At 50.2% G+C, this 25,188-nt stretch overlaps 1 protein-coding gene across 4 annotated transcripts in view, besides 6 other annotated features; it reads right to left on the bottom strand.

Annotated features, from left to right (window-relative positions):
- Nucleotides 1,786–2,185: an enhancer, noted in NCBI's record as "active region_9108". NCBI's record gives its function as "activates an Ori minimal core promoter by ATAC-STARR-seq in GM12878 lymphoblastoid cells {active_cell/tissue: GM12878}" and the evidence as "EXISTENCE:reporter gene assay evidence [ECO:0000049][PMID:35858748]".
- Nucleotides 2,226–2,275: an enhancer, noted in NCBI's record as "active region_9107". NCBI's record gives its function as "activates an Ori minimal core promoter by ATAC-STARR-seq in GM12878 lymphoblastoid cells {active_cell/tissue: GM12878}" and the evidence as "EXISTENCE:reporter gene assay evidence [ECO:0000049][PMID:35858748]".
- Nucleotides 15,620–15,759: a silencer, noted in NCBI's record as "silent region_6161". NCBI's record gives its function as "represses an Ori minimal core promoter by ATAC-STARR-seq in GM12878 lymphoblastoid cells {active_cell/tissue: GM12878}" and the evidence as "EXISTENCE:reporter gene assay evidence [ECO:0000049][PMID:35858748]".
- Nucleotides 18,171–18,670: an enhancer, noted in NCBI's record as "H3K4me1 hESC enhancer chr14:104057123-104057622 (GRCh37/hg19 assembly coordinates)". NCBI's record gives its function as "activates a minimal SCP1, AML or CMV promoter by ChIP-STARR-seq in naive H9 embryonic stem cells {active_cell/tissue: H9 hESC(naive)}" and the evidence as "EXISTENCE:reporter gene assay evidence [ECO:0000049][PMID:30033119]".
- Nucleotides 18,557–25,188, bottom strand: part of COA8 (cytochrome c oxidase assembly factor 8) — a 27,940-nt gene continuing 21,308 nt past the window's right edge. For 3 of the 4 annotated variants that reach the window (NR_126431.2, NR_126432.2, NM_001302653.2), the window contains 2 exons: nt 22,092–22,182; nt 18,557–19,275 (listed from right to left, as the gene is read on the bottom strand). Coding sequence is in view for 2 of the 4 variants with exons in the window: in NM_001302653.2 (NP_001289582.2) it covers nt 22,122–22,182 (61 nt within the window). In the remaining 2 variants the exon portion in view is untranslated. The remainder of the gene's footprint in view (nt 19,276–22,091; nt 22,183–25,188) is intronic. The other variant, NM_001370595.2, reaches the window with a different exon arrangement.
- Nucleotides 18,671–19,172: an enhancer, noted in NCBI's record as "H3K4me1 hESC enhancer chr14:104056621-104057122 (GRCh37/hg19 assembly coordinates)". NCBI's record gives its function as "activates a minimal SCP1, AML or CMV promoter by ChIP-STARR-seq in naive H9 embryonic stem cells {active_cell/tissue: H9 hESC(naive)}" and the evidence as "EXISTENCE:reporter gene assay evidence [ECO:0000049][PMID:30033119]".
- Nucleotides 20,762–20,936: a silencer, noted in NCBI's record as "fragment chr14:104054857-104055031 (GRCh37/hg19 assembly coordinates)". NCBI's record gives its function as "represses an EF-1alpha promoter that drives an FKBP-Casp9 reporter gene in an ReSE screen in K562 erythroleukemia cells {active_cell/tissue: K562}" and the evidence as "EXISTENCE:reporter gene assay evidence [ECO:0000049][PMID:32094911]".

The raw sequence follows: 25,188 nt of genomic DNA, 5'->3' as shown, positions 1-25,188 counted from the left end.
AAGGATGTGATCCCCTGGTGTCCTAGCTCCTGTAGTCCTTCCTGACTGTTTCTCTCACCAGGCAGCTCCCATCAGGTGCCATGCCTTCCCCTTGTCCCTTTGGCTTCTCTCTGTTCCTAGTCTCTGGGCACCCTGATATCCTTGGTTTGTTTCCAAATCCCTATTCACCCATCTGGCCCTTTCAGTCAAGTCTCCTTCAATCCCTCTGGGGGGAATCCTATTTCTTTTTTTTTTTTTTTTTGAGACAAAGTCTCACTCTGTCGCCCAGGCTGGAGTATAGTGGCGCAATCTCAGCTCACTGCAACTTCTGCCTCCCAGGTTCAAGTGATTCTCCTGCCTCAGCCTCCCAAGTAGCTAGGATTACAGGCACCCGCCACTACACCTGGCTAATTTTTGTATTTTTAGTAGAGATGGGGTTTCACCATGTTGACCAGGCTGGTCTCAAACTCCTGACCTCAGGTGATCCACCCTCACCCTCCTCAGCCTCCCAAAGTGCTGGGATGACAGGTGTGAGCCATCGTGCCTGGCCCAGGAATCCTATTTCTTGCTGGAATCCTAGATGATTCAACTGGTTAAACTACAGAAGGGCTGTTGGCTCATGTAGGCACCCAGATGAGCAGGCTGTGGTTGCCCTTGAGCTCCCGGACCCTACACTGGGGGTCCCTACAGCTTTCTTGGCTCTGCCTCCCAGTGTCTGCATGGCTGTGTGGCTGGAGGTCAGTCTGGCTCCTCTGTAGAGGCAGAAATGGCCAGAGCAGTTCCAGACGTTGTATCTGCAGTCCCCACTGTCCAGCAGGAGAAGCTTGTCCCCCAAAGCATCGATAATGCCCCAGGCTTCACTTGGATTCCACCTCCCAAGGTTACCAGCCCACCTTGGACCCTTGTCTGTGGCCAAGAGAATGCCAGGCACTGCTTGGCTTAGGCCCACAGGCCCCCCCAGGAACACACTGTAGCAGGCTGGGGATGGGCATGCAGGCTGGGGCGGCCCAATCCTCTCAAGTGTTCTTTGAGTTCACAAGCCCTGTTCCTTGGGGTGGCACCTCTACCCCCAGAGGCAGGGGTGGTGTATGGGAGACACCTCCATGCTCCCACCCACCTCTCCTATTGTTAAACTCCTCCAGGATGAGTTCTCCTCCAGAGACCCCACCTTCTCCACCCCCACCCCGGCCGGCTTCCCTTTTCCCTCCCCCAGCAGCCCTGCCTCCTGTCTACTGAGGAAGCGCAGCTGTAGGCACTATTCCCACTGTTTTCTTTCTCTCTCAGCAGGTTTCTCAGCCCCCGAGGATTCACGATCATCTTTGGGAGGAGAGGGCCACTCACATCCTCCCAACTAAGCTCCATGTTGGCCAACTGGGACCACACGCCTCGGGCAACGTCCAAGGGAAAGGCGATCTGGGGGCAAGAGGCATGAGGTTCGGGCACCTCCAGCAGAGGCGGACTTCCAGCCACGGCCCCCACCTGGGCAGAGGGAACGTCTCCAGACCTGTGGAAACAGGAGGAGGGCAGAGCCGACGGTGGGAGGGGGGTCGCATTCAATTGTCCCAGTAGAAAGTCCTGATAGTGCCGTTCAGCTCAGCTCTGCAGGGCAGACCCAGACCCTGAGTAAGGAAATGTGCGAATGGAGATATCCTGCAAAGGGCTTAGGTCATATTGAAAAGGAAAAGCGCAGCCTTCAGAAAGAAGATGGGTGGGGGCGGGGGCGAGCTGACCCTGGTGGTCTGGGGTCTCTATTGCTTTCAGCCCGTGGTTCCCGTCTTCACAGAACCTCGGCAGTCACGGCCACGCAGCACAGAACACTGCTCACCATCTCTCGTAAGCAGCAGTCAGAGCAGGTGCAACCCATGTCACAGATGGAGAAGCCGAAAGGGGACTTTGATGCGGGCCCTCGGCTCAGATCTCACACTGCCCCACCCGTCACCGCTGCGGTAAATGAGGAGACTAAGGCTTCTACCAGGTTCCAGCTCTGGAGTCTGGCCTCAAGGAGAGGCTGTCAGCAACGCCTCTAGCAGCTTCCATCTATCAATTCCTTCCAGAAGCTGCTGAACACACGGGCTCCCCGCCACCAGACATAAATCTCCGCCTCTTTTTCCGGGACTGCACATCCACCCAGTCTCACTTCCAAATGCTGATGAGTTCCTGCTGTTCTTGCGGACACCAGCTGTCATTCTGGAAAGCACGTGTTTCCTGCGGCTGCACCACAGCACCACACGCTGGGGGCTCAGGACGACAGGGGTTGATTCTCTCTCTCAGTTCTGCGATGGAAGTCCGGAATCAAAGTGTCAGCAGGGCTGGCTCCCTCGCTGCGGTTTCTGCGGTTCCACCGGCCCTTGGTGCTCCTGCGCTTGCAGCTACGTCCCTCCAGCCTCTGCCTCCACCTCATCTGCTCTTCCCTGCTGTGTGTCTCTGTGTCTTTCAGGGCCCCACCCCAAATCCAGGAGGCTCTCATCCCTAGACTAGCCTGGGCAACACAGTGAGACTTTGTCTCTAAAACAAATGAAAATTTAAAAATTAGCAAGGTGTGGTGGTACACACCTGTAGTCCCAGCTACTTGGGGAGGCTGAGGCTGTGGTGGTGAGCCAAGATAGTGCCACTGCACTCCAGCTTGGGTGACGGAATGAGACCCTATCTAAAAGAAAAAAAAAAGAAAGAAAAAGAAAGAGAAGGAAGGAAAGAAAGAAAAAGAAAAGAGAGAAAGAAAGAAAGAAAGAGAGAAAAGTGAATGGTGGGTGGGGATGGGGAGTGCCTGCCTAATGGGTACAGCGCTTGTTTGGGGAGATGACAAAGTTCTGAAGATGGACGGTGGCGAGGCTGCCATGAATGTACTTGGTGCCACTGAACTGCACACTTTATTTATTTATTTTTATTTATTTATTTTGAGACGGAGTTGCATTCTATTGCCCAGGCTGGAGTGCAGTGGTGCGACCTCGTCTCACTGCAATCTCTGGCTCCTGGCACCCAGGTTGGAGCGCAGCGGCGTGATCAGGGTTCACTGCAGCCTCGACCCCTTAGGCTCAAGAGATCCTCCCTCCTCAGCCTTCTGAGTAGCTGGGACCACAGGCACGTGCCACCCTGCCCAGCTAATTTTTTAATTTTTTGTAGAGATGGGGTCTCCCTGTCTTGCCCAGGCTGGTTTGTTTGTTGTTGTTTTGTTTTGAGATGGAATCTTGCTCTGTTGCCCAGGCTGGGGTGCAGTGGCACAATCTCGGCTCACTACAAGCTCCGCCTCCCGGGTTCATGCCATTGTCCTGCTTTAGCCTCCCCAGCAGCTGGGACTACAGGCGCCTGCCACCACACCCAGCTAATTTTTTTGTATTTTTAGTACAGACGGGGTTTCACCATGTTATCCAGGATGGTCTCCATCTCCAGACCTCGTGATCTGCCTGCCTCGGCCTCCCAAAGTGCTGGGATTAGAGGTGTGAGCCACCGCACCCGGCCAATTTTCTAATTTTTTGTAGAGATGGGGTCTCCCTGTGTTGCCCAGGCTGGGTTTTTGTTTTGTTTTGTTTTTGTTTTTGTTTTTTGAGATGGATTCTCACTCTGTCACCCAGGTGGGAGTGCAATGGCGCAATCTTGGCTCACTGCAACCTCTGCCTCCTGGGTTCAAGCAATTCTCCTGTCTCAGCCTCCCAAGTAGCTAGGACTACAGGCACGTGCCACCACACCCTGACAGGCATCCTGCCATGACCCTATCAGAGAGATTGCTGGGCCAGACCAGGGCTGCACTGGACACCCAGACCACCAGGGACAGGGGAGGAGGCACTGAAGATACACTGAGGCTCTTTTCAGCATCAGATCCTCTGCCCAGAACTGTGTTCCCAGCACACTGACCAGCCTGTCACATGCCAGCCCATGGCTGCTGGTGCTCCTCAATCTGGGTGTGGCTGGTGGGGAGGGGTTGGGGGAATAAAACAGACAGACAGACAGACAGATCTTCTCTAGGCCTTTCTGCCTACCACTCCAGCTTTTTTCATGTTAATCTTTCCACTCCGAACCAAACCCTGGATCTGCTTTGATGGCAAACTCAGGTCTTTGGGTCAAGTGTGTGCTTGGCTGGAGGTGTGATGTTGTCAGCGGGGGTGGGCCCAGAGGAGCTCATAACCCCTAAATACCTGGACAGAAGGCCCCCTGGCCACCTCCTCCTATAGCCTTTCCTGCACTTTTCCACCAAAGGCCTGACTCAGGATAAAGTGAAGACAATTATTCTTCCCAATCAATAGCTGAGGAGCTCAAAATGCAACTTGAAGCACCCTGAACACTTCTGGGATATTGACCAACCCATTTTCAACAGCATAAAAGGAAAGAGATGACTTTCCTGGCAGACCAGTGAGGTGAGCGGAGTGTCTGAGCTGGGGTACTGCTGGGCGGAAGGAAAGTGGGTGGAGAGGGGGGGTGGTGGCCCTCTTCTTTACGGCTCTATTCCTAGGGGTACAGCAGGGCCTGGCACGCAGGAGGTATTCGGAAGTATCCAGAGAATAAGTCACCAAGGACCCTGCTGTCCTCCCAGGAACGTAAGTGGACCCCTCATGTACCTTTTGTGGTGAAGGGTCACTATTCCCAGTCTACAGCAGCGTCTGAGGCTCAGAGGGCTCAAGTGGCATAGCCGAGACTGGGACTTGGCTTATCTGTCTGCAACAGGTGTCTACCTGCTACACCACAGATGGACCTGGAGGACCTGTGCTGAAATAAGCTAGTGAAATAAGCCAGCCACAAAAAGGCAAACACTAGGCTTGAGGTCCCCAAAGCAGGCAAATTCATAGACACAGGAAGTGGCATGGTGGTTGCCAGGGACTGGGAGTGGGAGCTGGGGAGTTGTTTAAGGGAGACAGAGTTTCAGTCTGGGAAGATGAAAGATTTCTGGAGATGGACGGTGCTTGTACAACAGTGTGAGCGTGCTCAGTGACAGTGGCCTGTGCACTTGAAAGTGGTTAGAATGGGCGGGGCGCGGTGGCTCACGCCTGTAATCCCAGCACTTTGGAAGGCCGAGGCGGGTAGATCATGAGGTCAGGAGATGGAGACCATCCTGGCTAACACGGTGAAACCCCGTCTCTACTAAAAATACAAAAAGTTAGCTGGGCGTGGTGGCGGGCGCCTGTAGTCCCAGCTACTCGGGAGGCTGAGGCAGGAGAATGACGTGAACCCGGGAGGCGGAGCTTGCAGTGAGCCGTGATTGCGCCACTGCACTCCAGCCTGGGTGACAGAGCGAGACTCCGTCTCAAAAAAAAAAAAAAAAAAAAAAAAAAAAAAGGAAAGTGGTTAGAATGGAAAACTGTACACACGCACTGTCATATTTATTTATTTACTTATTATTTTCTGAGACAGAGTCTCACTGTGTCCCCCAGGCTGGATGCACTAGCTCGATCTCGGCTCACTGCAACCTCCACCTCCTGGGCTCAAGCAATTCTTCCACCTCAGCCTCTCAAGTAGCTGGAACTACAGGAGTGTGCCACCATGCCCGGCTAATTTTTCTATTTTTAATAGAGATGGGGTTTTGCCATGTTGGCCAGGCTGGTCTTGAACTCCTGGCCTCAAGTGATCCACCCCCACAGCCTCCCAAAGTGCTGGGATTACAGGTGTGAGCCACGAAACCCAGCCTATTTATTATTATTATTATTTTGAGGCAGAGTTTCACTCTTGTCACCCAGGCTGGAGTGCAGTGGGGTGATCTCAGCTCACTGCAAACTCTGCCTCCCGGGTTCAAGCGGTTCTCTTGCTTCAGCCTCCCAAGTTCCCAAGTAGGTGGGATTACAGGCATGTGCCACCAAGCCCGGCTAATTATGTATTTTTAGTAGAGACAGGGTTTCTCCATGTTGGTCAGGCTGGTCTTGAACTCCCAACCTCAGGTGGTCTGCCCGCCTCGGCCTCCCAAAGTGCTAGGATTACAGGCATGAGCCACTGTGCCCAGCTTTTTTTTTTTTTTTGAGATGGAGTCTTGCTCTGTCACCCAGGCTGGAGTGCAGTGGCATGATCTCGGCTCACTGCACCTTCGCCTCCTGGGTCTCCTGGGTTCAAGCCATTCTCCTGCCTCAGCATCCCCAGTAGCTGGGATTACAGGCGCCCACCACCATGCCCAGCTAATTTTTGTATTTGTTTTGTTTTGTTTTGTTTTGTTTGGTTTTGAGACGGAGTCTCACTCTGTCGCCCAGGCTGGAGTGCAGTGTTGCAATCTCGACTCACGGCAAGCTCCACCTCCTGGGTTCACGCTATTCTCCTACCTCAGCTTCCTGAATAGCTGGGACTATAGGCGCCTGCCACCACGCCCGGCTAATTTTTTGTATTTTTTAGTAGAGATGGGGTTTCACCGTGTTAGCCAGGATGGTCTTGATCTCCTGATCTCCTGATCTCGTGATCTGCCCGCCTCGGCCTCCCAGAGTGCTGGGATTACAGGCGTGAGCTACTGTGCCCGGCCTAATTTTTGTATTTTTAATAGAGATGGGGTTTCACCACGTTGGCCAGGCTATTCTCAAACTCCTGACCTCAAGTGATCTGCCTGCCTCGGCCTCCCAAAGTGCTGGGATTACAGGTGTGAGCGACGGTGCCCAGCCGCTGTTTTGTTTTGTTTTGTTTTGTTTTGAGACAGAGTATCACTCTGTTGCGCAGGCTGGAGTGCAGTGGTGTGATCTTGGCTCAATGGAATCTCTGCCTCCTGGGTTCAGTCGATTCTCTTACCTCAGCATGCCCAGCCGATTTTTGTTTTTAGTAGAAACGGGGTCTCACCATGTTGGCCAGGCTGGTCTGGCTGACTTCAAATGATCCGCCCACCTTGGCCTCCCAAAGTGCTGGGATTACAGGCATGAACCACTGTGCCTGGCCAAAATTTATTTTATTTATTTTATTTTATTTGAGACAAGAGTTTCGCTCGTTGCCCAGGCTGGAGTGCAATGGCAAGATCTTGGCTCACTGCAACCTCCACCTCCTGGGTTCAAGCAATTCTCCTGCCTCAGCCTCCCAAGTAGCTGGGATTACAGGCACCCTCCACCATGCCCAACTAATTTTTTGTATTTTTAGTAGAGACAAGGTTTCACCATGTTGGCCAGGCTGGTCTTGAACTGCTGACCTCAGGTGATGCACCCACCTCGGCCTCCCAAAGTGCTGGGATTACAGGCATGAGCCACCATGCCCGGCCACTTTTATTTATTTTGTGAGACAGGGTCTTACTCTGTTTCCCAGGCTGGAGTGCAGTGACATGATTTTGGCTCACTGCAGCCTCAATCTCCCTGGGCTCAACTGATTCTCCCACCTCAACCTCCCAAGTAGCTGGGACTACAGGCACATGCCATCATGCCAGGCAATTGTTTTTCTTTTTTGAGATGGAGTTTCGCTCTTGTTGCCCAGGCTGGAGTGCAGTGGTACAATCTCGCTCACTGCAACCTCCCCCTCCTGGGTTCAAGCAGTTCTCCTGCCTCAGCCTCCCTAGTAGCGGGTCTACAGGTGTGCACCACCACGCCCGGCTAATTTTTGTATTATTAGTAGAGATGGGGTTTTGTCATGTTGGCCAGGCTGGTCTCGAACTCCTGACCTCAGGTGATCTGCCCGCCTCGGCCTCCCAAAGTGCTGGGATTACATGGGTGAGCCACTGCACCTGGCCAGAATATTTTCATTGCCCTAAAAAGTCTCTGTGCTCTGCCTGTTCATCCCGCTCCCTCCTAACCCCTGGCAACCACTCATTTTTTTACTGTCTTCATAGTTTTGCCTTTTCCACAATGTTATACAGTTGGAATTGTACAGTATGTAGCCTTTTCAGATTGGCTAAATGCATATTTCACTTAGTAATATGCATTTAAGATTCCCCTGGCCGGGTGTGGTGGCTCACGCCTGTAATCCCAGCACTTTGGGAGGCTGAGGCGGGCGGATCCTGAGGTCAGGGGTTTTAGACCAGCCTGGCCAGCATGGTGAAACCATGTCTCTACTAAAAATACAAAAAATTAGCAGGGCATGGTGGCATGCGCCTGTAGACTCAGCTACTCAGGAGGCTGAGGCAGGAGAATTGCTTGAACCCGGGAGCCAGAGGTTGCAGTGAGCCGAGATGGCACCACTGCATCCAACCTGGGCAACAGAGTGAGACCCTGTTTCAAAAAAAATTACTCCATGTCTTGTTTCCTTTTAGTATTGAATAATATTCCATTATCTGGATGTACCACCAACTGAAGGCTGTCTTGATAGCTTCTAAATGTTGGCAATTATGAATTAGGCTGCAATAAACATCCGGGTACAGGGTTTTGTGTGGATATAAGTTTTCAGTTTGGCTGGGCACAGTGGCTCACGCCTGTAACCCCAGCACTTTGGGAGGCGGAGATGTGCAGATCACGAGGTCAGGAGATTGAGACCATCCTGGCTAACACGGTGAAACCCCGTCTCTACTAAAAATACAAAAAAATTAGCCGGGCGCGGTGGCGGGCGCCTGTAGTCCCAGCTACTCAGGAGGCTGAGGCAGGAGAATGGTGTGAACCCGGGAGGTGGAGCTTGCAGTGAGCCGAGATTCCACCACTGCACTCCAGCCTGGGCGACAGAGCTAGACTCCGTCTCAAGAAAATAATAATAATAAGTTTTCAATTCATTTGCATAAATACCTAGGAGCATGATTGCTAGAATGCATGATAAGAGTATGTTTAATTTTGTAAGAAACTGCCAAACTCTTCTACAGTGGCTGTGCCATTTTGCGTTCCCACCAGCAATGAACGAGCGTTCCTGTTGCTCCATCCTCACCTGCATTTGGTGTTGTTTGGAGAGCAAAGATCACCTGGTGGTGATCATCAGGAAGGCCATCCAGAAACAAAACTTCTTATCTGAGGAATTCAAAAGTAATTAGGCTTCCCTATTATCTAAAGCAGGGATCTGGTCCTAGGTTTCTTTCCCAAAAATTTCTTTTTAAATTTTTTTTTAAATTTTTTTGAGTCAGGCTGGAGTGCAATGGCACAATCTCGACTCACTGCAACCTCCATCTCCCGGGTTCAAGTGATTGTCCTGCCTCAGCCTCCTGAGTAGCTGGGATTACAGGCACTCACCACCATGCCCAGCTAATTTTTTGTATTTTTAGTAGAGATAGGGTTTCATCATGTTGGCCAGGCTGGTCTCGAATTCCTGACCTCAGGTGATCCACCTGCCTAGGCCTCCCAAAGTGCTGGGATTATAGGCATGAGCCACTGTGCCCGGCCCTTTCCCCAAAATATCTAAGTAACTACAATTTCTGTAGCTCTCCAGAATGCATGCATGTCAGAACTCACTGTGCAACCCTTGCTGACATTAAGGCACCAAATGTCTACAAATGTAATTATTTATCATGACCTACATCGCTAATATGGTTCAAATTACCCTTAAGCTCCCACCTTAAGGTCCATAAATGCCCCTAAGGAAAAATCCACCGAAGCTCACTCGGTCCTCTGTTACTGAGGCACCTTGATGCCCTCTTCTTCAGTGTTCTTTCTTTCCAATAAAACGTTCCTTTTTCTTTTCTTTTTTTTTTTTTTTTTTTTTTTTTTTTGAGACAGATTCTTGCTGTCACCCAGGCTGGAGTGCAGTGGTGTGATCTCCATTTACTGCAACCTCCACCTACTGGGTTCAAGCGATTCTCCTGCCTCAGCCCCCCGAGTAGCTGGGATTACAGGTGCCCACCACCACGCCTAGCTAATTTTTGTATTTTTAATAGAGACAAAGTTTTGCCACGTTGGCCAGGCTGGTCTGGAACTCCTGATCTCAAGTGATCCGCCTGCCTCGGACTCCCATAATGTTGGAATTACATACGGGCCTGAACCACCACATCAGGCCAAACGTTCCTTTTTCAAACCTATACTGTCGCCAGTAAATTTTTCTTACCAACCCTCGAGTGGACCACTTTCTGATGCTGGAGCTTTGACACCTCACCCAGCAGTCAATGTTTTGTATGTCAGCAGCCATTCTAACAGGTGTGTAGTGGCATCAGTTTTTTGTTTGTTTGTTTGTTTTTTTTTTTGAGACAGGATATCGCTCTGTCGCCCAGACTGGAGTGCAATGGTGAGATCTCAGCTCACTGCAACCTCTGCCTCCTGGTTTCAAGTGATTCTCATGCCTCAGCCTCCCCAGGAGCTGGGACCACAGGTGTCCACTACCATGTCTGGCTAATTTTTTGTTTGTTTGTTTTTGCTTTGAGATGGAGTCTCGCTCAGCCGCCCAGGCTGGAGTGGAGTGGCGTGATCTCAGCTCATGGAAACCACCATCTCGGGGTTCAAGAGATTCTCCCGTCCCAGCCTCCCAAGTAGCTGGGATTATGGGCACGAGCCACCACACCCAGTTAATTTTTTTGTTTTTTGAAACGGAGTTTCACTCGTCGCCCAGGCTGGAGTGCAACGGCACGATCTCGGCTCACCGCAACCTCCGCCTCCCGGGTTTCAGTGATTCTCCTGCCTCAGCCTCCCGAGTAGCTGGGATTACAGGCGCCTGCCATCATGCCCAGCTAATTTTTTGTATTATTGGTAGAGACGGGGTTTCACCATGTTGGCCAGGATGGTCTCGAAGTCCTGACCTCAGGTGATCCACCTGCCTCGACCTCCCGAAGTGCTGGGATTACAGGCGTGAGCCACTGCACCCGGCCATTTTTGTGTAGTTTTAGTAGAGAAGGGGTTTCACCATGTTGGCCAGGATTGTCTGGAACTCCTGACCTCAAGTATCTGCTTGCCTCGGCCTCCCAAAGTGCTGGGATTACAGGCATGAACCACTGCCCCTGCCTGAGTTCTTTACAATGGCACATTCATTTTCAAGTGACAAGGCTCATTCGCTAAGAATCCCCGAGGGACAGGCCTCTTGCACTGTGCCAGCATCCCAAGCCCCCCAGGTGCTTACTGGGATGACCTCTCCTTCTCACTGTGTGATGATTATCTCATTACAGACTCCTGGCACCCACACTCCCTTCCCAGAGGGTATCTCAGGCTGTTCGAAATCAACTGGGGATGCCTCTGATGGTCAGGCCCAGAGATGGGCTCATGGCCTCTGCCAGCCTGGCTTGGTTTCAGGTGGACCCCAGGACTCAGAGCCAACTGGATGTTGATTGAAATGTACTCGGATCACACCACCCCCTTTACTACCCCCACCCCAAGAACTGAGACCTCAGAGGCCACTCTAGGCATGTGCTATTTGAGGTAATCTGGGTCAGTCAGGCTTCTGGGGTGCAGGTAAAGAAACTTGAATCAAATTTCAAGCAAATACCTCAAAGTTGGAGGGTGATCTGAGGCCCCAGGCATGGCTGGATCCAGGCACTCCACCCTTCCTGTCTGGAATCTTCCTCTTTCCATTTCTCAGCACTGCTCTGCAGAGTTGACTTCATCCTTGGGCAGGATCACTACCAGACTCACACCCTTGACTTCAGAACCCCCTGGGAAGAAAGTGCTGGGTCTTTTTTCCTCATTGCTCTGGGAAGGCCTGGGCTAGCTTTGGCCAGCGATGCTGGCTAGTGTGCCCAGCTCTGTAGAGGAGGTGGCTTTGGCCTTTCTAGAGCCACATGGGCACAGAATGGGGAGGCCTGGGCCCCAGAAATGCCAGGCAAGCACAAGTCTATCCTCACTACACTCCTCTTCTCATGAGCCTCTGCATTCATTCATGGAGCAAGTGCTCTGAGTGGGAGGCTCCTGGATACCCGAGATGAGTATGACTCACCCCCGCCAGGCAGATGCTGGTGTGTGTGGAGAGGCTGACACATTACCAATGACAGGACGGCCGAGTGGGTTCTGTAAATCTAGAATTTTTCTTTTCTTTTCTTTTTTTTTTTTCTTGAGATGGACTTTTGCTCTTGTTGCGCAGGCTAGAGTGCAATGGCGTGATCTTGGCTCACCGCAACCTCCGCCTCTCGGGTTCAAACAATTCTCCTACCTCAGCCTCTGAGTAGCTGGGATTACAAGAATGCACCGCCACGCCCGGCTAATTTTTTGTATTTTTAGTAGAGATGGGGTTTCTCCATGTTGGTCAGGCTAGTCTCGAACTCCCGCCCTCAGGTGATCCAACCACCTTGGCCTCCCAAAGGGCTGGGATAACGGGCGTGAGCCACTGCATCCAGACTCTTTTTTTTTTTTTTTTGAGATGGAGTCTTGCTCGTCGCCAGGCTGGAGTGCAGTGGCTCGATCAAGGTTCACTGCAAACTCCGCCTCCCGGATTCAAGCGATTCTTCTGCCTCAGCCTCCCGAGTAGCTGTGACTACAAATGTGTGCCACCACACCCAGCTAATTTTTGTATTTTTAGTAGAGACAGGGTTTCACCATGTTGGCCAGGATGGTCTTGATCTCTTGACCTCGTGATCTGCCTGCAGTGGCCTCCCAAAGTATTGGGATTACAGGCATAAGCCACTGTGCCAGGCTTTTTTGTTTTTTTTTTTTTTTTTGAGACAGAGTCTCTCTCTGTTTCCCAGGCTGGAGTGCAGTGGCGCAATCTCAGATCACTACCACCTCTGGCTCCCAGGTTCAAATGATTCTCCTGCCTCAGCCACCCAAGTAGCTGGGATTACAGGTACCCACCACCACACCTGGCTAATTTTTGTATTTTTCGTAGAGATGGGGTTTCACCATGTTGGCCAGGCTGGTCTCCAACTCCTGACCTCAGGTGATCCACCTGCCTCAGACTCCTAAAAGTGCTGGGATTACAGGCGTGAGCCACCTTGCCTGGCCAGAGTTCTGTAAATCACTGAGGCTTGTCCAGAGCACTGAGGGGCACAGAGCAGGAGCACCTGTCCAGCCAGGGGAGACTGCGGTTTCATAGGGGAGCCGTGTCTTTGTGCAGTGGGGAGTGGTTGTGAGGGCATTCTAGGCTACACCTGAGGCTCCAGATAGATGAGGCCAGGTACGGAGTATGACAGGTGACTTGAAGGGCTCCTGTAATTGTATGTACATCCCTACTTGAAATTTCATGTCTTGGCCGGGAGCAGTGGCTCATGCCTGTAATCCCAGCATTTTGAGAGGATGAGGTGGGAAGATCGCTTAAGCCCAGGAATTCGAGACCAGCCTGGCCAACATAGTGAAACCGTCTCTACAAAAGTATAAAAATTAGCTTGGTGTGGTGGCCAGTGCCTGTACTCCCAGTTACTCAGGAGGCTGAGGCAGGAGGATCGCTTGAACCTGGGAGGCAGAGGTTGCAGTGAGCGGAGAGTGCGCCACTGTACTCCAGCTTGGGGGACAGAGTGAGACCCTGTCTCAAAAAAAAAGAAATTTCATGTCTTAAAACTTGGCTATTAATTTCACAGTGCTTTCATTGTGACATAGCAAGAAATCATTTTTATTAATGAGCACTCAGATGTAATTGCTGGACCTTGTGAGTAGAGAGCCTTCTGCAATTGAAAGTTAAGAATAGGCTGGGCACGGTGGCTCAAGCCTGTAATCCCAGCACTTTGGGAGGCCGAGGCAGGCGGATCATGAGGTCAGGAGTTTGAGACCAGCCTGGCCCATATGGTGAAACACTGTCTCTACTAAAAACACAAAAATTAGCTGGTGGTGGTAGCGCGCACCTGTAGTCCCAGCTACTCGGGAGGCTGAGGTAGAAGAATCGCTTGAACCCAGCAGGTGGAGGTTGCAGTGAGCCAAGATCGCGCCACTGCACTCCAGCCTGGGGACAGAGCGAGACTCGGTCTCAAAAAAAAAAAAAAGAATATAATTGAAATCTATGATTAACTGGGAATGTAAACATGAGTCAGATCAGCTGATTCTGTAAAACATTCTGGTGGGGTCTACATTATGTGGCTGGCTTTTTTCTCTTACTTTAAATCTTGCTAGTCTTTGCAGGGGGAGCAACAATGAACTACCAACATCGGGGCCCTTGTGCCCAGCAGAGCAGGTGCTCAGTATTTCTCGGCTGAATAAACATTGACAGATTTTAACCATTCCCCACATCTCCTCCCTTCAAACGCTTGCAGCCTATAGATGAGGGAGCAACCAGAACAGCTGGTCGGCAGGTGGGACCAGCTGGAGGGGTGCGGCCCACATCCACCAGGAGGCAGGGGTGGCTCAGCCTCACGCTCAGCCATCCACGACAAAAGCTGATCCACTGCAGAGCATGCATCACAGAGGAAAATACTCTGGAAAGGAATGAAGGCGCTGTAGCACACCGTTCAGAAGGGATCTATGTTAAAAGGCAAAAAAATAATGCAAGCATGGGGGAGCCTGAGAGGGAATCTAATAAGACTCTGGGAAGGCGAACCCAGTGGGCCACGGGGAGGAAAATGCCAGCAGCACCCAGACCCCAAACTCTACTGGCTGCCTCCCAATAAGGGGGCTTTCAGAACAGGAACCTCCAGCCTCACCTTCAGGAAAATTAATTATGGATTTAGAAAGGAAGCCTATTCCTTTGTCATCTACTCCTTCCTATGCTGCTCCGATTTCCTAACCAGACACACTGTTACAATTTTAACTTTAAAAATCTCAGCAGAATAGAGCTATTTTTGTTTCTGTTTTTTGTTTGTTTGTTTGATTGTGTTTTGAGACGGAGGCTCACTCTGACGCCCAGGCAGGAGTGCAGTGGTGCGATCTCGGCTCACTGCAACCTCTGCCTCCTGGGGTCAAGCGATTCTCCTACCTCAGTCTCCTGAGTAGATGGGGTTACAGGCATGCGCCACCATGGCCCAGCTAATTTTTGTATTTTTAGTAGAGACGGGGTTTCACCACACTGGCCAGGCTGGTCTCAAACTCCTGACCTCGTGCGGGGGTCACGCCAAAGTGCTGGGATTACAGGCGTGAGCCACCGCACCCGGCCTTGTTGCTGTTTTTCTTAAAAAAAAAAAAAAAAAAAGTGCTGGTAGCAAAAATAAAAATAAAAAAAATCAGCAAACAGAAAACTGTCATACAATCTGCCAGGAGTTGCGTGGTTTCTCCATTAATCAGAAGTCTAAAATACTCCTTGCAAATGTACAGAACAAAGGGCCTTCTGTGGCTCACTCCTCTGCTGGGGGCGGAAGGCTCAGCGTGTGCCTGAGGCACAAAGGCTTGGAAGCAGCCACTTCCCCGTGCTGGAAGCAGACTAAAGGGCTTGTCAGAAAACAGCTCTCAAGCTTTGTCCTCTTAGGCGCAAAAGATCGAAGCAGGGTAGCACTGCTGCCCCAAGGCAAGGCTTCTCCGTAGCCCTGATGCAATTCCGCTTCCTTTAAAGAGCAGCATGTGTGTGGGCAGGCCCGGGTCCTCCAGCTGCAGCTCCTAAAGATGCTCCCCACACGGCGGCCTTTCCCTGGGGAGGTTTTTCTTGAAGATGCTTCTATTAATCATTATAACTCCAGCATTTGTGCAGAGCAAATGCTGTACCTGACGCCAACTGGAGCCCTGCTGGGGGCTCTGCCAGAGCTACGGGATGGCCTCAAGGGAGCTGAGGCTTGCAGGCAGGTGCAGCTTCCGGTACATTATTAGGATTAAATAAAAACAAGGAAGGCCGGGCTCGGTGGCTCACACCTGTAATCCCAGCACTTCGGGATGCCGAGGTGGGCAGATCACGAGGTCAGGAGTTTGAGACCAGCCTGGCCAACATGGTGAAACCCCATCTCTACTAAAAATACAAAAATTAGCCAGGCGTGGTGGTACACACCTGTAATCCCAGCTACTCTGGAGGTTAAGGCAGGAGAATTGCTTGAACCCGGGAGGTGAAGCCTGCAGTGAGCAGAGATCATGCCACTGCACTCCAGCCTGAGTGACAGACCGAGACTCCGTGTCAAAACAAAACAGAAAGAGGAAAAGGCATTAGATATCCTGTTTTCACTGACCTGAGATAGCCCTCGTGAGTCCTGCTGAACTTCTGTTAGCCACATCCGGCTCCTTTTTTTGGGTGAATATGAGCAGGTAAAAAATCAGTTTCTACAAAGACCACCCAACACACAAAGTGGGAGAAAGAGACTCAATATTATTTTGCTTTTAAACTCCAAATTAAAATATTTAAAATATTTGGAATTTTAACAAACATGCATTTTGTGGGAAAAGTGGTATAAAACACATCAGTGGGCTGGTCGCGGTGGCTCACGCCTGTAATCACAACACTTTGGGAGGCTGAGGTGGGCAGGTCGTGAGGTCAAGCGATCAAGACCATCCTGGCCAACATGGTGAAACCCTGTCGCTACTAAAAATACAAAAATTGGCTGGGTGTGTTGGCACGTACCTGTAGTCCCAGCTACTTGGAAGGCTGAGACAGGAGAATCGCTTGCACCTGGGAGGCAGAGGTTGCAGTGAGCTGAGATCGCGCCACTGCACTCCAGCCTGGGCGAACGAGCAAGACACCGTCTCAAAAAACAACAACAACAAAAAAACCAAAAACCCACATCACTGAGATAAGCTTTATTTTGTAACTATTTAAAAGCCCACAGAAATACTTTATTTGAATATGGCTGTTACAATTATATTAACCTAATTAAAAAAAAACTTGAGCATACAAATTTTTGGGTTAATTTTTTTTTTTTTTTTTTGGAGAGAGAGTTTTACTTGTCATCCAGGTTGGAGTGAGTGGCACGATCTCGGCTCACTGCAACCTCTGCCTCCCAGGTTCAAGCAATTCTCCTGCCTCAGCCTCCTGAGTAGCTGGGATGACAGGCGCCTGCCACAACACCCGGCTAATTTTTGTATTTTTAGTAGAGACGGGGTTTCACCATGTTGGCCAGGCTGGTCTCGAACTCCTGACCTCAGGTGATCCGCCCTCCTAAAGTGCTGGGATTACAGGCATGAGCCACCACACCCAGCTGGATAATCTTTTTTTTTTTTTTTTAAGATGGAGTCTTGCTCTGTCACCCAGGCTGGAGTGCAGTGGTGCGATCTCAGCTCACTGAAACCTCTGCCTCCCGGGTTCAAGTGATTCTCCTGCCTCAGCCTCCCGAGTAGCTGAGACTACAGGCGTGCGCCAACATGCCCAGCTAATATTTGTATTTTTAGTAGAGCTGGGGTTACACCATGTTGGCCAGGATGGTCTTGATCTCTCCACCTCGTGATCCGCCAGCCTCGGCCTCCCAAAGTGCTGAGATTACAGGCGTGAGCCACTGCGCTAGGCCAATCTTTTTTTTTTCTTGAGATGGAGTCTTGCTTTGCCACCCAAGCTGGAGTGCAGTGGTACTATCTCAGCTCACTGCAACCTCTGCCTCCCAGGTTCAAGCAATTCTCCTGCCTCAGCCTCCCAAGTAGCTGGGACTATAGGCATGTGCCACCACGCCTGGCTAATTTTTATATTTTTAGTAGAGACGAAGTTTCACCATGTTGGCCAGGCTGGTCTCAAACTCCTGACCTCAAGTGATCCACCCACTCGGCCTCCCAAAGTGCTAGGATTATAGGCGTGAGCCACCGTGCCAGGCCTAGAATAATCTTTTTTTTTTTTTTTTGAGACGGAGTCTCGCTTTGTCGTCAGGCTGGAGTGCAGTGGCGCAATCTTGGCTCACTGCAACCTCTGCCTGCTGGGTTCAAGTGATTCTCGTGCCTCAGCCTCCCGAGTAGCTGGCATTACAGGCACACGCCACCACACCCAGCTAATTTTTGCATTTTTAGTAGAAACGGGGTTTCACCATGTTGGGCAGGATGGTCTCGATCTCCTGACCTCATGATCTGCCCACCTCGGCCTCCCAAAGTGCTGGGATTATAGGCGTGAGCCACCGCACCTGGCCAGAATAATCTTAATTACAATTTATTTGTGACCAAAAGTAACACATATCACAATCATTTAATTTTTTTTTTTTTGAGACGGGAGTATTGCTCTGTCGCCCAGGCTGGAGTGCAGTGGCGCGATCTCGGCTCACTGCAACCTCCACCTACCGGGTTCATGCTATTCTCCTGCCTTAGCCTCCCAAGGAGCTGGGATTACAGGCACCCTCCACCTCCCTGGTTCATGCTATTCTCCCGCCTCAGCTTCCCAAAGAGCTGGGACTAAAGGCACCCTCCATCATGCCTGGCTAATTTTTGTAGACAGGGTTTCACCATGTTTGGCCAGGCTGGTCTTGAACTGACCTCAGGTGATCCGCCCACCTTGGCCACCCAAAGTGCTGAGATTACAGGCGTGAGCCAGTGCGCCCGGCCTTTTTTATTATTTTTTTAAATTTTTATTTGAGACAGGGTCTGGCTCTGTTGCCTAGTGGTAGGATCTTGGCTTAGTGCAGCCTGGACCTCACTGGCTCAATCAATCCTCGAAGCTCAGCCTCCCGAGTAGCTGGGACTACAGGCGCATGCTACCATGCCCAGCTAATTTTTGCATGTTTTGTAGAGGCAGGGTTTCGCCATGTTGCCCAAACTGGTTCGAACTCCTGAGCTCAAGTGATTTGCTTGCCTTGGCCTCCCAAATTGTTGGGATTACAGGTATGAGTCACCATGCCTGGCCATTTAACCTTCGTGTTTAAGAAAAGAGGAAAATAGTGCTGCTGTTTCTTGTTAATTTGCTTATAGCATTGAAGAATCTACTAACATAGTTAACACCAAGAATCAAGTTAAACTTTTTGGCATGCAATAAAATTGCATTTGCTTTCATGTCCTCACACCGCACTGCATTCAGGACGCAGCCTGTGAGGACCCACCAGCTGACGACTCACAGTGAGGGTGGTGCTGACTCCACGGCCAGCACACCGATCGCTTGGCAGTCAGCTTCCACATCATTCCCGTCAGCAGACTTCTTTTTTCCAGTAAAACTTTATTAATTATTATTATTTTTTGATACAGAGTCTCGTTTGGTCTTCCAGGCTGGAGTGCAGTGGTGCGATCTTGGATCACTGCAACCTCCGCCTCCTGGGTTCAAGCGTCGCATGCCTCAGCCTCCAGAGCAGCTGGGATTACAGGTGCGTGCCACCACACCCAGCTAATTTTTTGTAGAGACAGGGTTTTGCCATGTTGTCCAGACTGATCTTGAACTCCTGATCTCAAGTGATCCACCCGCCTCGGCCTCCCAAAGTGCTGGGATTACAGGTGTGAGCCACCGTGCCTGGCCAATATTTTTAAATAGTTCTGTTTTGAATTGGTATAATTCGAAACACAGGAAACGGGCACCCAGTGCTTGGGCTTTATTTCACACCACGTACGTGACAACAAGCTGGCCTAGAGCCCACATCAGCAGGCAGGCGGCCCACAGTGCCCCAGGACCTACCCTGCCCCCAAACAGGCCATGGGGCCCCTTAGGAAGATGTGGGGCTTCTTGAGATCAGCTCCAGTTTTTCTCAGAGCCCCTGTGAAAGGAGCTCCATCTGCTTCCTGTGGAAACCTGGACTCTGGCTGGGTCAGAGTGGACTCCTAGTTGCTCCTCTTCTTTTGTTTCTGTTTAAGCTTGTTCCAAATCCTTTCCAGGGCCACTTTTCCCATGAAGAAGGTGATGGCAAAATTGCGCTTGTACCAATCTCTGTAGAGAAACAGAGGATGCACAGGTGACACGGTGGCAGGGACTGAGGCTTGGTGCCCTGGCCCAGAAGTGGCTCCCAGTTGAGGATGAGTTCAACTGACCAGGCCTCAACTGCTTTGCCCTTTCCCTGCCCTTGTTAAAGCTAAACTATTCATAGAGGCCTGCCTCTCCTCAGGCTGAGAGTGAGGCCCACTGGCGACGCCTGGAGTCCTCTCCAGCCCTGTTTCTGGAGGCCGCCACCATCCTCCTTTGGTGTTTTTTTTTTTTGAGACGGAGTCTCGGTCTGTCGCCCAGGCTGGAGTGCAGTGGCGCGATCTCGGCTGACTGCAAGCTCCGCCTCCCGGGTTCGCGCCATTCTCCTGCCTCAGCCTCCCGAGTAGCTGGGACTACAGGCGCCCGCCACCACACCCGGCTAATTTTTTGTATTTTTTTTTTTTAGTAGAGACAGGGTTTCACCGTGTTAGCCAGGATGGTTTCGATCTCCTGACCCACCTGCCTCAACCTCCCAAAGTTCTGGGATTACAGGTGTGAGCCACCGCACCCGGCCCCTCCTTTGGAGTTTTTTTTGTTTTGTTTTTTCATCTTGCTTAGTTGTCCAGGCTGGAGTACAGTGGCACAATCTTGGCTCATTGCAACCTCTGCCTCCTGGGTTCAAGTAATTCTTCTGCCTCAGCCTCTTAAGTACTCCTTTGATTTTTGCTAAAAGATCCAAGAGAGCCCTTGGAAACCCCAGGCCTGCCGAGCTGGCAGCATTTTAGGGATGTGATGGGCCACGACCACTCTGGAGGCTCTGCATGGCAGGACAGAAAGTTCCTCTCCACCTGCAAACCACCTTTACACCTCCACCTACTTAAGCAATGCTGTCATGAGGAGCAGTGCCCAAAGTAAATAAGCGCTTCCAGGAGAAGAAAACCGGTAGCCCATGGGGATTACAGTTCTTCAAGGAAAAGCCATATTCCATTTCACTAATACAGACGACCTGATTCTATGACATGTAAAAGCAAGCTACACTTCTGCTGTTGCCACAGGGAAGGCAGGGGCAGGAGGTGGTGGTGGGGGCCAGGCTCCTCTAAGGCCTGATCTTGGGTAAGGCTGGTCCTCTTCACCCGAGTGCCACAGAGAAAACATGAAGCCCATCAGAGACTGTGCCCCGTGCAAACAAGCTACGTGTCCAAAGACCAGGGAAAGATTATACTCGCTTGTTTGAATGACTTAACTAATTCAGAGTAATACATGACAACCTTAGAAATGGAATCCAGATATTTCAGGACTAATCTTTAGGTCAGACTGTCCCTCACTGAGTCCATCCAGCCTTTGACTGTATCTATATTCTCTTTTTTTATTAGGGTCTCACTCTGTAGCCCAGGCTGGAGTGCAGTAGCGGGATCTCGGCTCACTGCAACCTCCACCTCCTGGGCTCAAGGGATCCTCCTGCCTCAGCCTCCTGTAGCTGGGATTACAGGTGCACACTACCACACCAAGCTAATTTTTGTATTTTTTGTAGAGACAGGGTTTTGTCATGTTGTCCAGGCTGGTCTCAAACTCCTGGGCTCAAGCAATCCATCTGCCTTGGCCTCCCAAAGTGCTGGGAGTACAGGTGTGAGCTACCGTGCCTGGCCCATGTCGACATTCTTGAAGTCTGGCTTCACCTGCCCATCAGGCTTTGTAACTCTGGAACTGTTTTATATATATATATATATTTTTTTAATTACTTACTTATTTATTTATTTATTGAGACAGGGTCTTACTCTGTCTGCCATCCAGGCTGGAATGCAGTGGCCGGATCTCGGCTCACTGTAGCCTTAACCTCCCAGGCTCAAGTGGTCCTCCTAGCTCAAGCCTTTCACTATGTTGCCCAGACTGGTCTTGAACTCCTGGACTCAAGTGATCTACCCACCTTGGCCTCCCAAAGTCATGGGATTCCAGGTGCGAGCCACCGTATCCAGCCTACAAATATTTTAAAGCAAATCTCAGATATCATGTCCTATTAATTTCACCTGTAAATACAGGTCATTATTATCTGTAACCAGCTAAAACCCGTTTTTTTTTTTTTTTTTTTTTTTTGAGATGGAGTTTTGTTCTCCTTGCCCAGACTGGAGTGCAATGGCACGATCTCAGCTCACCGCAACCTCCACCTTCCACGTTCAAGCGATTCTCCTGACTGAGCCTCCGGAGCAGCTGGCTAATTTTGTATTTTTAGTAGAGACAGGGTTTCTCCATGTTGGTCAGGCTGGTCTTGAACTCCTGACCTCAGGTGATCTGCCCACCTTGGCCTCCTAAAGTGCTGGGATTACAGGTGTGAACCACCACACCCGACCTAAAAAAATTGGTATCTTTTTAAGCCACTGCAGTCACTTAAAAAATAAAGTTGATAGACGAGGCGCAGTGGCTCATGCCTGTAATCCCAGCACTTTGGGAGGCCAAGGCAGGCGGATCACGAGGTCAGGAGATTGAGACCATCCTGCCTAACACGGTGAAACCCTGTCTCTACTAAAAATACAAAAAATTAGCCAGGCGTGCTGGCGGGTGCCTGTAGTCCCAGCTACTCGGGAGGCTGAGGCAGGAGAATGGCGTGAACCCAGGAGGCGGAGCTTGCAGTGAGCCAAGATGGCGCCACTGCACTCCAGCCTGGGCGAGAGAGCGAAACTCCGTCTCAAAAAAAAAAAAAAAAAGAAAAAAAGAAAAAAAAAAGTTGATAAAGTCTTGCAACTTCTACCTCTGATATAAACATGAATGTTGTTAAATTCAGGTAAGAAAACACTCCTACCTAATCTGGATGTGCTATTCAAATTTTCAGGAAAAGAGTAAACACCTACCTGTTATAATACATGTGCTTCTGAAAATTTTTACTTAAAAATTCCTTGTAGAAGTCCGCCATTTCTTCTGCATTCAATGTTGCTTTCTGACCTGAAAGGTAATTTCAGCTTAAACATTAAGACTTAAGGAGAAAGGATAAACAAAAAACTATTAGAGCTAATAAATGAGTTCAGCAAGCTTGCAGGATATATACAAGACCAATATACAAACATCAATTGTATTTCTATACACTAGCAATGAACAGTCTGAAATGAAATCAAGAAAACAATTCTACTTATGATAGCATCAAAAATAATAAAAGACTTAGGAATAAATTTGAGAGGAGACGTGTAAGATGTGTACACTGAAAAATACAAAATAGGCTAGGTGCAGTGGGTCACGCCTATAATCCCAGCACTTTGGGAGGCCAAGGTGGGAGGATCACTTGAGGTCAGGAGTTCATGACCAGCGTGGCCAACATGGTGAAACCCCATCTCTACTAAAAATACAAATATTAGCCAGATGTGGTGACTCACGCCTGTAATCCTAGCACTTTGGGAGGCCGAGGCAGGTGGATCACCTGAGGTCAGGAGTTTGAGACCAGCTGGGCCAACATGGTGAAACCCCGTCTCTACTAAAAATACTGGGGCCGGTGGGGGGTGGCAGAGGTTACAATGAGCCCAGATCATGCCACTTCACTCCAGCCTGGGCAAAAGAGTAAAACTCCGAATCAAAAAAAAAAAAGGCCAGGCGTGATAGCTCATGCCTGTAATTCCAGCACTTTGGGAGGCCGGGCTGGGCCGATCAGAAGATCAAGAGATAGAGACCATTCTGGCCAACATGGTAAAACCTCATCTCTACTAAAAATACAAAAATTAGCTGGGCGTGGTGGTGCACGTCTGTAGTCCCAGCTACTTGGGAAGCTGAGGCAGGAGGATCACTTGGGACCAGGAGTTCAAGACCAGCCTGGGCAACATAATAAGACCTCATCTCTCCAAAAAATAAAAAAATTAGCTAGGTATGGTGGTACATGCCTGTAGTCTTAGCTACTCAAGAGGCCGGGGAAGGAGGGTCACCTGAGCCCAGGAGTTCAAGGTTGCAGTGAGCCATGATCATACCACTGCACTCCAGCCTGGGCAACAGAGCCAGACCCTGTCTCGTTAAAAAAAAAAAAAAAAAAAAAAGGCCAGGTGCAGTGGCTCACGCCTATAATCTCAGCACTTTGGGAGGCTGAGGTGGGTGGATCACCTGAGGTCAGGAGTTCGAGACCAGCCTGGCCAACGTGCTGAAACACCGTCTCTACTAAAAATACAAAAATTAGCCGGGCATGGTAGCAGGCACCTGTAATCCCAGCTACTCAGGAGGCTGAGGTAGGAGAATTGCTTGAACTCAGGAGGTGGAGGTTGCAATGAGCCGAGATCGTGCCATTGCACTCCAGCCTGGGCAACAACAGCGAAACTCCGTCTCCAAAAACAAAACAAAAAAAAACAAAAAACAACAAAAAAGGGCCGGGCCGGGCATGGTGGCTCACGCCTGTAATCCCAGCACTTTGGGAGGCCGAGGCAAGTGGATCACAAGGTGAGGAGATCGAGACCATCCTGGCCAACATGGTGAAACCCCGTCTCTACTAAAAGTACAAAAATTAGCCGGGTGTAGTGGCGTGCGTCTGTAGTCCCAGTTACTCGGGAGGCTGAGGCAGGAGAATTGCTTGAACCCGGGAGGTGGAGGTTGCAGTGAGCCGAGTTCACACCACTGCACTCCAGCCTGGCGACAGAGCGAGACTCTGTTTCAAAAAAAAAAAAAAAAAGAGAAAAAACCTATAGAACGGGAGAAAAACATTTGCTAATCATCCATCTAATAAAGGTCTAGTATCGAGAATATGTAAATAACTTTTTTTTTTTTTTTGAGACGGAGTTTCGCTTTTGTTGCCCAGGCTGGAGTGCAATGGTACGATCTCGGCTCACCACAACCTCCACCTGCCAGGTTCAAGCAATTCTCCTGCCTCAGCCTCCCGAGTAGCTGGGATTACAGGTATGTGCCACCACGCCCAGCTAATTTTTTGTAGTTTTAGTAGAGACGGGTTTCTCCATGTTGGTCAGGCTGGTCTCGAACTCCCAACCTCAGGTGATCCACCCGCCTTGGCCTCCCAAAGTGCTGGTATTACAGGCGTGAGCCACCGCGCCTGGCCAAGAACTCTTTTTATCTCAGCAACAAAAAGACAAATCATCCTATTTATTTATTTATTTAGAGACAGAGTCTTGCTCTGTCACCCAGGCTGGAGTGCAGTGGCGCAATCTCGGCTCACTGCAAACTCTGCCTTCTGGGTTCAAGCGATTCTCCTGCCTCAGCCTCCTGAGTAGCTGGGATTACAGGCACGCACCACCATACCTGGCTAATTTTTGTATTTCTAGTAAAGACGGGGTTTCACCACATCGGTCAGACTGGTCTTGAACTCCTGACTTCATGATCCGCCCGCCTTGGCCTCCCAGAGTGCTGGGATTACAGGAGTGAGCCACTGCACCTGGCCAAATCATCCACTTTTAAAATGGGCAAAGGATTTAAACAGGAATTTCTCCAAAAAAGATACACGAACAACCAATAAGCACATGACAAGATGCTCAACACCACGGGAAATCAGAAAGACAAAGGCATGCCACGTCACACCCGCTAGGATAGCTATTATTAAACACAGACAATAACAAGTGTTGACAAGGATGTAGAGAAATTAGAACTCTCATACATTGCTGGTGGAAATAAAAAAATAGGTCAGGCCACTCTGAAAAACAGCTTTGTAATTCCTGAAAAAGTTAAACACAGAGTTCGTGATCATAAGACCCACGTGGCATTATAGAGAGGTATTTGGTCTTTGTCCCCTGTTCCTGGCACAGAGCTCCTAAAACCTCAGAATCTCCTGAGTGATGAAGGGTGATAGCAGCTGCTCCTGTTCGAATGGGGCAGCTCTGGTGGGCTCCTGTACTGCTTCGGGATGGGGGCCGGAAAGACCAAGCCTTGATTGGAAGCTCAAAACTTTCAGTTTTGGGGAAAGGAGAGGGAGTAGAGATTGAGCTAATTACCAACGGCCAATGATTTAATCAACCATGCCTACCTCATGAGACC

This window comes from Homo sapiens, chromosome 14 (assembly GCF_000001405.40).
Source record: "Homo sapiens chromosome 14, GRCh38.p14 Primary Assembly".
In the NCBI taxonomy this organism is placed as follows: domain Eukaryota; kingdom Metazoa; phylum Chordata; class Mammalia; order Primates; family Hominidae; genus Homo; species Homo sapiens.
This window is presented reverse-complemented; position numbering and strand designations above follow the sequence as displayed.